Source organism: Homo sapiens, chromosome 4 (assembly GCF_000001405.40).
Source record: "Homo sapiens chromosome 4, GRCh38.p14 Primary Assembly".
Lineage (NCBI taxonomy): Eukaryota > Metazoa > Chordata > Mammalia > Primates > Hominidae > Homo > Homo sapiens.
Genome location: NC_000004.12, coordinates 75,028,575 through 75,042,167, shown reverse-complemented (window position 1 = coordinate 75,042,167; position 13,593 = coordinate 75,028,575). Strand labels below are relative to the sequence as shown.

The 13,593-nt window shown below is 41.3% G+C and overlaps 1 protein-coding gene and 1 long non-coding RNA gene across 3 annotated transcripts in view; one reads left to right on the top strand and one right to left on the bottom strand.

Moving 5' to 3' along the window:
- Positions 1–5,113, top strand: part of LOC107986289 (uncharacterized) — a 37,189-nt gene extending 32,076 nt beyond the window's left edge. Inside the window, exon 3 of the long non-coding RNA XR_001741728.2 lies at positions 4,369–5,113. This is a non-coding gene — a long non-coding RNA (uncharacterized LOC107986289). The remainder of the gene's footprint in view (positions 1–4,368) is intronic.
- The window catches only part of PARM1 (prostate androgen-regulated mucin-like protein 1), a 116,998-nt gene that overhangs the window by 7,946 nt on the left and 95,459 nt on the right, over positions 1–13,593 (bottom strand). For both annotated transcript variants that reach the window (XM_011531833.1, NM_015393.4), the window contains one exon: positions 8,207–8,285. In XM_011531833.1, the coding sequence (XP_011530135.1) occupies positions 8,207–8,285 (79 nt within the window). The remainder of the gene's footprint in view (positions 1–8,206; positions 8,286–13,593) is intronic.

Genomic DNA, 13,593 nt, shown 5'->3' with positions numbered 1-13,593 from the left:
TGCAGCAGCATAGATAGTGTATATGGAGTGTCTATGGGGTTTGGCTAATACCAGCTAGGATTAATATGGCCCATGGAAATTCATTGTATAGTATAATTGGAAAAATGAAAACATCCCATAAGGAATATTGATGGTCAAAGTCACTGTTTTGACTTTAAACATAGGAAGGGAAAAGAGCATTATGGCTGGACTAGCATGCAATGATGTGGCTTTAAGGCCCTTAGCACAGTGCTCACAGCCCGTTAATCAATGGCACTGTGCTTATTGTCAATGTGAGTCTACTGTATCATATGGTGCAGTAAGCAAATTAAAACCCGAGGGGGAAAAATGAAGAATGATTTCTTTTAAACTCTTCCCTCATTGCTCTCTTTCTCTAGTGGCTCTTCCCTAATAGAAAGCAGCACTCCCTACTCCCTGCCCCTACTTGGTGACCACTTGTTGGTGACAAATGGTAAATGATGTGGTGACATTTGTGGCTTGAGGTATTCTCCAACACTGCAAAATGGTACCTATTTAAAGATAACTGTAGCATCAATACTTAATGAAACTCTATTGTCTTTGAAAATGAGTGAAGTGTCCCTTTTCTTGCGTTGAAACAAAACATATTTTAGGAAATACCTTGTCCTTTACAAGGGTCAGCCCCAGTTCTCCACAAGTCTCCACCTTTATTTATGACTATGCCCCACAAAGCCCTCTCCTCTTTAGTCAAGCAAGTCTTGCCATTCAATCATTAGTGCTTACCATGTGCTAAGGATATGAAGAAATATGGAAGGATACAAAGATGATTAAGACATGGCTTAGTGCTGGAAAAATGCAGCTGAACTTTCAGTTCATTAGCCATGAGTAATTAAGCCTTAGACTCTTGTTGTCCATTAACAAAACTGTTTGATGCAGCTGTCACTGTCTCCTTTTCATTGTTTCCATCGTTTCCTCTTTTTTTCTGATTATCATTTCCTGCCTGGCTTCTTTAAGTATTCATTGAAAACTTACCATCTATCAGGCCCTATTCTAGCACCTGGTTGATACCTTAATAAACTGAACAGATCAAAATCCCTGTCCTTAGGGAGCTTACATTCTACGTGGGGAGACACAGTAAATAATATACAAATAATAACATGGTGAATGTTACTAAGTCCATGGAGAAAACAAATAGAAGAAGTGGGTGGGGTGGTGAGGAGTTCCCAGTAGGAGGTGGGGACTGTAATTCTGAATATGATGATCAGGAAGGTCTCACTAAGACATCTTTGAGCAGACACATAGAGGAGATGACGGATGAGCCATGTGGATAACCGAGGGATACCGTGTAGACAGAGGGAGCAGCAAGTACAGAGGCCCTGAGGCAAAAGCAAACAATATATCTTTGTGGTAGCTACTGAGTCATAATTTAAAAAAAATAAACTTTGTATGTTGGAATGATTTTAGATTTAGAGAAAAGCTGCAAAGATAGTACAAAGATTTCCCGTATACCCTTCACCCAGCTTCCACTAATGTTGATACATAATTGTGGTACATTTGTCAAAACTAAGAAATTAATATTGTGAACCACAATTTTGGGGCTAAGAAAACTGAAATCATTACAATTTATTTTATTCACCCAAAGTTACGACAGCAAGTTAGTGGCAGAGTGAGTATCACAACTAAGGAATCCTATCAGTTCCATCTTTTAAACAAAAATCTCACTGATGGGAATATTTCCAAATATTTATTTTTAAAATCCTTTTTTTTTCCAGACTCTGGGTTTCTTTTAAAAAGCTGTTACTTTCAAGCATATCTTGAAATAATTACCTTTGCTTTGAAGGGGCAGGTCATATTTGTTTATTTAAAAAATTATCTGCCAGATGGCATTACTATTGGAAGACAATCATCACAGAAAAGGTCTACACATTGGCACATCTGTTTATTTGTAAACTAGCTCAGTGTCACGACGTAGCTAGTAAAAATCTGTGTGGTTTAACAGATTCCCATGGCTTCCCCTTCCCCAAACCCTGGTTCTTCTTGATTAGGAGTAAACGAATGTTACTGCTGCACCCCCAAACTTTCCTATTCAGACTCATGAACTCATCCAATAAATGTTCATTAAGCAACTACTATACGTCAGGTACTGCCAAGGACTTGATATTGTTCTAGTGGAGAAAACTGGTAGAGAATGCACTGATTGCAGTACAGGGAAGCACATGGTATGAGGGAAGCATGCACAGCAAGGAACTCAGTATGGAAAGGTGGATGAAGGCTTCCCAAAGGAGATCTCTCTTGAGCTGGACGACTTGAAATTAGCCAGATTGGGAAAGGGGTGAACCAAACACCTCTCACAGAGGGATCAGCATGTTCAAAATTACAAAGGCAATATATCTGAAACAGGGCAACATATCTGAAACATATATGAAACAACAGGGCAATCTATCTGGGAAACTGTACAGCAGAGAGTGTGTTTGGAGTGTTAGAAATGGGTAAAACAGGGCTACTGGAGTGTTAGAAGCGGGTAAAACAGGGCTACTCAAAGTGTGATCCTTGGACCAGCAGCACTGGCATCACCTTTGAGCTAGTTAGATATGTAAATGCAAGGGCCCCACCTGGACCTACTGAATCTGAATCTATGGGGATGAGACCCAGGAAACTGTTTATTTATTTTATTTTATTTTTTTTTCTCGCTGTGTCACGCAGGCTGAAGTGCAGTGGTGCGATTTTGGCTCACTGCAAGCTCCACATCCCAGGTTCATGCCATTCTCCTGCCTCAGCCTCCCGAGCAGCTGGGACTATAGGTGCCTGCCACCAGGGCCAGCTAATTTTTTTTTGTATTTTTAGTAGAGATGGGGTTTCACTGTGTTAGCCAGGATGGCCTCGATCTCCTGACCTCATGATCTGCCCGCCTCAGCCTCCCAAATTGCTGGGATTACAGGCGTGAGCCACCACACCCGGCCGGAAACTGTGTTTTTAATAAACTCTTCCATTGATTCTTATGCACATTAAAGTTTAAGAACCACTGAGGGAGAAAATTGAGTAAACAAGACCTACAGAACTCCAAAAGGTGACCTGAAAAAGTCAACTGTGTATAACAAATTCTAGAAGATCTTGGCCTTTATGGCTGGCTGGGCCTACTCTAACAACCAGAAGGAATCCAATTGTACAACCTGCAATCACTAGAAGACATAAAGCAAAATAGGTGACTTCTAACAAGACGTCTTAAAAGACAGGTCCTGTTGTGTCTATAAATCAAGACTGCATTTATTTTTGTGAAGAAAACAGCCCATGTAGTCTGTCTGGGTCACCAGCACACCTAATTACAGCAACATCCACATCACTGGTCTTAGCAGATACGGTCTCCTGTGCAGGGAGATTATGTCTTGGCTGAACAGTTTTGAGCCAACTTAAACAAATCAAAACAGACTTATCTCATTCTTCAATCATCACTAATTAAAGATAGTTCTGCAAAAGGTAGACAGGGCCTTTGCTTTCTTTTAAAGTTGCAAACAAGCCCTGGCATAAAGACTGCTCAGAGATAGTTTCCATTTATAAATGTGTAACATGGATTCAACTTCACAGACGTTTCAGAATAGCACTAACGAAACTGCCAAACTGGAACATGGAAGACCGCCATATCAATATTCAATTAGGAAATGAGCTGCTGTGCCATCTTCCCCCTCCTTCTCTCCCCTGTCCTTTGAATCCCTACGCCTACTGAATGGAAATGGTAGGATGGAGACTGTGCTCCCAACCTCACAGCCTATGTGTTGGTGGTTACCAGTTTACTGAGTCCCTATTTGCTAAGCACTGTTCTAAAAACTACAGCAGTAACAGTAATTGACCTTCCATCATCCTCACCTCATACCAGGCACTGAACCTTTATATGTATCATAATTTAATCTTTGTAACAATCTTGAGTTAGGTACTATTATTATTATAGTCTCATTTTACATGAAGAAACTGAGCACAAAGTGATTAAGAAACTTGCCCCAGGCTGGGCGCAGTGGCCCACGCCTGTAATCCCAGCACTTTGGAAGGCCAAGGTGGGCGGATCACCAGGTCAGAAGAGCGAGACCACCCTGGTCAACATGGTGAAACCCCGTCTCTACTAAAAATACAAAAATTAGCCAGGTGTGGTGGTGTGTGCCTGTAGTCCCAGCTACTCAGGAGGCTGAGGCAGGAGAATTGCTTGAACCCGGGAGGTGGAGGTTGCAGTGAGCCGAGATCACGCCACTGCACTCCAGCCTGGGTGACAGAGCGAGACTTCGACTCAAAAAAAGAAAACTTGCCCCAGAGTGCATGTTCTTAGTCACCATGCTAGTCTCTCCAGTTACTCTGCATTCATTACTTCATTTCGTCTTTAAAACAACCTTGAAAGATACATATTATTAACTCTATTTTTTGCAGATTGAAGAAATTGAGGATCAAGGAGTTAATAATTTGCCCAAGGCCGCCTAAATAGTAAGTAGAAGAGTCAGCATTAAACTTGACTGCAAAGCTCACATTCTTCCCTCCACACCACACTGCTGCTGGTTAAAAGGTGGGATCATAAACCAAGAAGGGCCCTGGGTTCAGGGCAGTTCATTTTATAAGTCACATCCAAAAGTGGCTCAGGTTACAAAAAGATGTGGTTCTCCAGGCAGGGGTCATTGTGACAAAACTAGGGGTAATGGGTCCCTGGAGAAAGGGAGTGTGAAAAGCAGATGGCTCTTAAGTTTACAATGCCTTTAGAGGAAATGAGGATCTGGGAAGAAAGGTGAAAAGTCCCCACCCATTGTTAGCAGAGCTTGCCAAGCATTCTATTTTTCTGATCATGAGGCTGCCTTTTCAAGCAGATTCTCCCCTTGCATTTGCAGAGAACTTGGCTGGGCCAGGGCCATATCCCATGGTTGCAGGTCAGAAGCTAATGGCTCCCTATGGGTTGTGATTTTAGTCACTCGCTGCTCCAGCCAAACAAGCTAAAAGACCACAGAAAACAGATCTTTTGTTATGTTATTGTTTTTAGAAATCTGGGATGAAGAAAGAAGAGTAAGTTCCCAACCAAAGCAAAGCCTATCCTTAGGAACATACATGCACACACACACGTCAATTAAAGTATTTTTGATGAACGATTAATGGGGCTTTCCGACAACCTGGCAAAATAACAGCTGAAGGGGTTTTAGCATAGCCTTAAGATTCATAACAACGATTAATCTCCTTATGTTATCATTTTACCAAAATAATTAATAGAGAAGCAGAAAGGGGCTTTCCTTAGGGGGTTTCTGAAACCCCTTAAGGGTCTAATAACTGTATCCATTCTTAAGTTTATAGTGCTTAAACTTAAGTAGCATAATAGATAAATAGCAACCTTATATTTATGCCACTGTATATCTTACTACATTTAGGAGACAGAAGCTGTATGGGGAAGAAGAATAATGATTTATTCAATTTAATCATTTACTTAATTTATCTGGTGCTCTGAACGCCTGGGGAAAATATAGCTTAAAATAAAATTTTAATCAGCACTCATCAGAGCAAATTGTAATGGCCTGCTAACAAAATTTTCCAAACATGGTAAGTACTGTGATGGCAGAACTGTGTCACATCACTAATGTGGCCTGGCACATGGCTGACGCTCTACAGCTATCTATCAAGGACTGTCTTCCTGGGGCTCCTTCCAGTCTACCACTTTGATGATGATGATGATGTTGGCAGTGCTATATACTTGCTTCCAAACAACACTACAAGGTAGAAACTACTGCCCTTATTTTACAGGTGAGGGAAATGAGGGTTAGTGGTGCTCTGTGACATGCCCAGGTCACAGTGCTGGAAGTAGTAGAGCCAGGATTTGAACTGAGGGCTCCCTGCTTCTGGAGTCTGAATTGTTAATCACTATTTTAGACTGCCTGCCTATAGCCAGTGTGGGTTTAGAGGTGGTAAACTTGAATTCTTGCCAAAGTGAAGAGGAAGAGTCCTTCCAGTTATTTCAGCACCATTTTGGGGAAGTGTGTAGCAAGAAGGAAGTGTTTCTATTTCACTCCACACTTCAGTGAAGGTCGTATTTTTGATAATGTAGCCTCTTAGGAACTCATCATTGGTGATTCTAAAATGACTCTAAAATTTATGTGTAAGTTCCTTTTTGGGAAGGAGGGGCAGAACATGTTTTTCAACAGATACTTTGTTATAAAATGGAAACGAGGTTCCCAGAGTAGTTCATAAAAGCCAATTTAACTCGTAATTAAAATACGGTGTATCTGCAGCAATAAACTAATAATTAAACCAGATGGAAAAAGGTATCATTCAGTAAGATATAATTTATAAAATTAAGTTTAGTGCTCAAGGACATGCAGACTTAATGAAGAGAAATATTTTTTTTAAATCTGGGGGAAACTTCTGGATGCTTTTATAAAATGTTTTATTAGAAACAGGTCAAGCGGGCCCTTTAATTCCAATTTCTCTTCAAAACCTGGCTTTCCTGTTCTTTGTATCGTAGACGCAGGTGATATTACAAGGCACTCTCACACTTGACATTATCGAGATTGATTTGATGCACATTTAGAACACAAGATGGAGGGAGATAAAAGGGAAGGAGGAGGGAAGTGCTCCCAGTGGGCACTGGGTGGGGCTGGGTGGCGAGTGGGGATGAGAGGAGGCAGCAGCAGAGTGGATATGTGCTCTGAGATGAGGAATCATATCCATGAGCTCCACGTGGGGTCAAGAGCAGGAGGGAAGGACAGGGTGGCACAGCCTCTTGAGGAAGAAACATGGCTGCTTGGGGGACAAGTCAGGGGTGTCTGTGTGTGTGCGCCACAGTGCCCATGGGATTGTGTGTCCTTATGGTTCACTGCTCATTTGTTCAATGTATCAAGCACCGTCTTGGTCCCTAGCAGTGTCCTCACAGACAAATCCAGGTCCTCAAGGACCTTACATTTTTTGTGGGGAAAAGAGACAATAAACAAGCAACACATATACAAAAACAAAATGATAGCAATAAAATAAAATAATAGACAGTGGTCACATCCAGGATAGACTTAACAAGGCACTAAGAGAGTAAATAACAGGGGCTCTAAACTGGAAAGGACATCTCTCAAAGGAAGTGAGATGAAAGCCAATGTACACAGCATGAGAAGGAGCTAGAAGACAAGCATCTCATGGAGGAAGTAGCAAGATTGCAGGGTCTGGGGAAGGAAGGACAGAGAACCTGGTGTGTCCTAAGAATTGGAGGGAGCTGGAGTTTCTGAAGTTCAGGACTTCAGAGGGAGAGAGGGATGTGATGATTGGAAAAGGGGAGGCAGGCACGGTCCAGGATGACTGAGGGCCACGCTGAGGAGTTACAATTTAATTCTCAGTGCAAGGGGAGCCACTGGGGTTTTTCAGGAAGGGAATGACAGGGCAGAGGAGCTTGCATAGAAATGGTTCTGGCTCCTGGGAGGAGAACGAATTGGAGGTCAAGGGTGAGTGTGCTCACCATGCAGCTTGTGTCTTTCTGTCCTTTGTTATGGGCACTGCACAGACTAGGAAATAAGACTGTCACTTGCCATCTGGCATTTTACAGCTGGAAGGACACTTAGAGACTGTGAGTAATGTGGTGTTGAGACTTGATTTCACGGAGCAATAGAAAACAAAAATGGAGGACTCACAGAGTATTGCAACTTCCTATTAGGCTAAAGAAAGTAAAATCTCAGCTACTATCACTTCATTTCATAGGAGAAAAGATATTTTAAAGCCAAAAATATAAAGACATAATCTCAGGAGAAAAAACGGTTTTATAGGAAATGCCACACCTTCCTTATATTTTTTACATTTTGCATTGGAATCAATGAAAACCTCATTAACAGATTGGGTACAAATCCACAGTTCAGTATTCAGAACATCAGAATTTAGGAACCATCGATCCCACCCTTCTACCCCCTTTCACAGATGAGAATAGGTGAGTTTTAGGAGGCATGTGGCTTTCCCAGGGTAATGAGGTACATTTGGGGCAGGGAGCCTAGGCTTCAGTCTCCCGACTCCACGTTAATTCTTGTTCCATTGCATCATCATGCTGTATATCTCAGCTTGCTTCTTCTACTTTGCCAAGGTTCAGATACTGTACGTCTATACCTGTGTTGTGTGGTGTAGGAGTACACCCGCCATTTTTCACTTCTCTGCCAATATTTCTAAGGGCTAAGATACCTATTAAGGAACAAGTATCCAGCAAAACAGCGCTCAGCCCAGAGCCCAACAAAACAGAATCCCTTTTTTTTAAGAGTAAGCTGCGTCTCACCTGATTTTTAGGTAGGCTGCAACTCCAAACACCAGCAGCACCACGGCAATGACTGTCACGGTAATGGCGGCGATGCTGCCTGTGAAGGAGGAAGGGCACAGAAAAGAAGATACATGAGGATACGGGGCATCATGTGACTTTGGCGTGCGTAGTATCCACCTTCTGCCTGATCCCATCTTTTCTCTGAAAGGGGGAAAAGCTACTTCAGATCATTCTGCATGACATTCACAGCTAGAATAAAACCCAGGATTTTAATTCTGTTACCAAAACACTTTTTATGCAGGTGAAATTGGGTAAATCGTCAATATTTATCAAGACTTTTTGGCTGGCCTGGAATTTAGAGAGGAGTACTTAGTCATATTTTGATTATCTTTTTAAGAATGACATCAATCTGTTGTTGTTGCTGCTGCTGTTGTTTGCAGGGGTAGTGGGTTTTAGATTTCTTGATGTCCTATTTTCTTCTTTTATGGGCTCTGCCTCATCTTTCTATTACTTGTGAAATATTGAGAGACTTTGGATGTTTTATTCAAGGGTCAGTGCAAAGTAATGTTTTTTTCGGTTTTTTCATAAAAATATTGGCAGTATCCACTTCAAAAGGGTCGTCTTGGTAGGAAATGCACTAATTTTAATGAGGCAATCAAGTGAAAGCATTTTAAAACATTCCTCTGTGGGAAATATGTTCAGTTTTCATTCTTGAATAGTAAACTTGGTTTTATAGAGACTAAAGTGAAGTTTGATATATAGAATAAGGTCTGGTCTGATAGGTAACACTATTTTTTGTTTGTAGAAATATCTTGGTGCAATATAAAGTCACGCGAATATTTTATTCTGTAGTTTGAAATCTGGTTCCAAAAGCAACTATTAATGGGCAGTTTAAAAAAACTCTTTGAGCATGTACCCTTGTAAGAATAACCACACCTCCTCCAAATACTACTTTGAAGCACAACATGCTTTTTGTGTGAGCTTTGCATTAATAATGAATATACTTTAGTTTCATTTCACCTTAAAAATGGCAAGAATCAACTGGGCTCTTGTCCCCTAATACTTAAAGTGAGTTTTCGGCACTAAAGCTGGTGTTAGGGACTCCATTTACTCTTTTAGGCAACTGGGAAATTATTTACTAGTACTTCAACAAATGAATGGGACTCTTAAACACACTGCAAAGAGCACCAGAGATGTGGAGTCTGAATATGTGGATTCGAGTGTGGTTCAACCATTAGTAGCTGTGTGACCATGAACTATTTACTTAACCCTGACGACTCTTATACTACTTACCTGCTGAGACAGAGGAATAAGAGTGTTCTATCCATCTTGCATGATTTTAAGGGGATTAAATGAGATGCCAGGTGTACCAATCTAAAGAGCTATGCAAATATATGATCCTGGACCAATTCTCATATCTTGTGTACTAGGTCTCAAAAGTGATGAATCTCCCCCATATTTTTGGAGATTTATCACTGTAGATTATTTTAGTATCTCTTCTTTTATTTATTTATTTTTGTCTGCTGGTATGAACGGCTCCTGTTACTGTTCGTTTTATTAGCCTTCCCACCAAAAGAATTGTAGCACAGTTAAGAAGCAAATCAGTCCACTTGTTAATTCTTTAGTAACTTCTAAAAAGCTCTGGATGAAAGAATGCTACATCAAACATCCATGATCCTGCTGGTTATAATTTCTAAAAGAGAGACCAAAAAAAATCATTGCTAACATTAAGACTAAGACCAGAGCTTGTCATGTCTGCAAAGACTGATCATATTCAACCGTTTCAGAGCTTACAAGCTTCTGAACACTCACAGATCCATTTCTTTGCTCCTGGAATCATTTTGAGACAGATTAATATAATTACCAGAATAATTCTCTTTCCCTTTTTACTATTGTAAAGACAGAATTATGGCACTGAATGCTCAAATGTGCAGACTGGGTCAAGCAGAGAAAGTCCGAGGTCAGTTCCCCTTATGGAAAACCTCCACTCCTACTTTGAAAGGCTCCTCTTGGCTTGTTGGCCTCTAAACTGTGTTGAAATTAGAACAATTCAAAGTTCACTGAAGCCTTGTAATAGCTCTTTTAAAAGCTTATGAAAGGAGGGTTACAACCATAGGGTAAGGTGATGGGAGTATTTTAAGATTCAAAAAGATACAGTCATTGCAATTAAGAGCAGTGTAAAAAACTGACCTTTTAATTTAATTTCTCCTTTTAAAAAATGGAAGAAAAGAATGAATATAGCTGATTTTTTTGCAAGACTCTTCTTTCTTGCTCCAGGGATAGTTTAATATAGGAAATCACAGGTTTGGCCTTTTTTCAAAGATTCTTCTCTAACTTTAAGCAGTTGGGTCCCCTCCAACTTTGTGATTTACTGAATTTATTTACATACCACCTCTTTCTAAAGATAAATCAGGCAGGTTCTCCAACTAAAGTGTGATCTTTTTTTTTTTTTATTGTAAGTGATAGAGTGACCACTTCTCCTCCATATGATGGGTGGCTCTCTAGCTCCAAGTGTACCCCCAATCTTCAAATGGGGCTCTTCCATGTCACCCTTCCATGTCCACAGAAGATAGCCTATATGACCAGAGCTGGAATTAGCCAGTTATTTTCCTCCTGATGGGCCCTTGAGGGCAGCTGGGCAAAGGGGCACTTCTAAGAGTTTGTACAGCCCAATATAAGGCCAAATGGTATAAGATAAAACAGATAGTAATTAAATATTTGAACCACTGTATTAACTATTCTGTTACCCACTGGCTCTTCTCAGTGGATGCCAGCCATGGGAACAAGAGTCCTCCAAAAGCAGAAAACCTTTATCTGGCCCTAAGCCTAGGAGATCTTGTATCCTGAGCTTGCTGTTACCTCCACAGCAGTGGCTGCTTTCAGAAGCAGCTGGTAACCATCAGCCCTGGGAAGTTCCACACCTGAGGGCATCACAGTTTGAGAACATGAAGGGGTTGCTGAGCCCATGTTAGCGCAACTTTATAGGGTGACTGAAAAGGCTTTATTTCCTCCTTGTGAAAACAAATGCCATTTCCCCCTGAGTTCTGTTTAAACTAAACTGGAATTCCCCTCCTCCTCCTCCTCTTACATTTTTCAATATGAGGAAGGGACAGAAAAAATGAGGAAGGTGTGGCTGGGGGGCAGGGGAGCCTCTGGCTTATGAGGAAGGTGTGGGACACTGACGGGCAGTCCACTGGGAGTGGAGACATGGGGAAGGTGGCTGGCGTTTCATTTCTTCCTCATTGGGATTTGTGAGTTAGAGACTGGGTGTGACTCATGTTATAAAGCCCTGGAATGGGCAGAAATTAAGAACTGAAGGAAACTTATCTATATATTTTATAATCCCAGATACAAGAATATTCCACTGTGCTAGCACGTTTCACTCTACCAACATGTTCTGCCTATCCAGAGGGCTGGTGAAGGCCTGTGAACCAAAACCTCTTTGAATTTTGGGCCTCCCTGAAGTCTGGAATTCCTCAGGGTTGCATTTTGCCACTTTTTTTTAATGGCCCAGGACCAGAATAAATGGGCTAAAGAATAACCATAGCTACCATTTGCAGATGATTACTTTGGGCTGAGACTATGCACAAAACTGTACAGCTATCATCTTATTTAATTCTCTTTACAAGGTGGGCAGAATTATTCCCATTTTATAGATGAGGAAGTTAAGGCTCAGAGAGATTAAGGTTTTACATGTGGTAAATGATTGAACTATCATTTGGACCCAGTACTATTTAGTCCTGGTTTTGCATTTTTAATCATTAACTTTTCTTAGCCTGGCCAGCTCCTATTCTTCTTCACTATCTAGCTAAATAGCAACTCTTCTGAGCCGTTTTCCCTGACACCCCTGGGTAAAATTACAGTGTTGCTCTGTGTTCTCAGATCTCAGCATCAATTTCTTTCAAGCATTCTGTATTATGTTTATGTGCTTCCCTAGGTCATTTCTATTCATGGCCATCTTGCATCTCTTCCCATTTCTTTGTGCACTGTTAGCTTAAGGCACCATCTTTGGCCCACAGTGGGTACTTAACTCATGTATTTAATGTTGAATAAACAAATATACTTTTAGCTTAAAAAAGATTACCAGAATTTTTTTTTTTTTTAGCCTAATCATTGTCCTAAAAAAGTTTCCACACAGCTGACTCACCACCTATTCACCTTGGAATCACCTGCTCCAGTTCTTACCTGAGTACCTACTCCTATGATTACATCTATGATCCCACCTCCCCAGCCCCCTGCCCTTCTCACTGTGCACTTGAAAGTCCCCATCAGTGACCAAGGTGGTTAGTTGGAGGAGAGTTCTTTTAGGAATGAATTAGTCCATTCTCATGCTGCTAACAAAGGCATACTCAAGATGGTAATTTATATATAAAAAAAGGTTTAATGGACTCACAGTTCCACATGGCTGGGGAGGCCTCACAATCATGGTGGAAGGTGAAAGGCATGTCTTACATGGTGGCAGGCAAGAGAGCATGGGCAGGGTAACTTCTTTTTATAAAACCATCAGATCTTCACTATCACGAGAACAGCATGGGTAAAACTCACCCCCATGATTCCATTACCTCCCACTGGGTCCCTCCCATGACACATGGGGATTATTACAATTCAAGGTAAGATTTGGGTGGGGACACACAGCCAAACCATACCAAGGAATAATTGTCTAAATAGAGTCAGATAACATCCTGGAAGCAGCCAGAGTAAACTCCTGGTCAGCCTTGTCGGCCACTACTCCACTGCTCTACAACCCTGAGGAAGGAGGCTGCCTTTGGGGGTATTCCTTTCCCTGCTTTAGCTCTGTTCTATACCCTGAGGCAGTCCAGGAATCAACTGTGGCATCATTTAAGAGTCTCTCTCCCCACACTCACACATCCCCATGGGCCCGCACGCCACACAGATGGGCCCCTTTTCTTGATCACACACTCAGAAGGGGTTCTGTTCATGTCCAAGCCTCCTGCCTCTCACTTGACCAAAAGGGTCCTTCTATATTCCTGGGCTTAGCAATATTCTCAAACCTCAAATGTTCCTCTAGGGACTCTTCTCATTGAGGGATTTTCTTTTTATTTCACTTTAAACATGAAATAAACATTTTATTTGAGCTCTTTGGAAAAAATATTAATATTCACCAATTGTATCCAAAATGTAAATATTAGGACATGATGGGATGAACCCAAACAACCTCTGAAGAAATAACTTTGCTGGGCTCTTTAAAGAAGTTGTTGTTACTCTGAGAGAGCTGGGGGTGGAGGAGGTGATGGTGGAAAGTTTCCAGAGGTGAAAAAGAGGTGAGTGTCTCACTGCTATCCATAGATGACTCCTGAGCTACATTCTCCTTGAAAATTCACCAGTCAGCTTATTTAGAAGGTGCGTGTAAATACTTGACCAAGTTCCTGAGTATGTGTGCATGC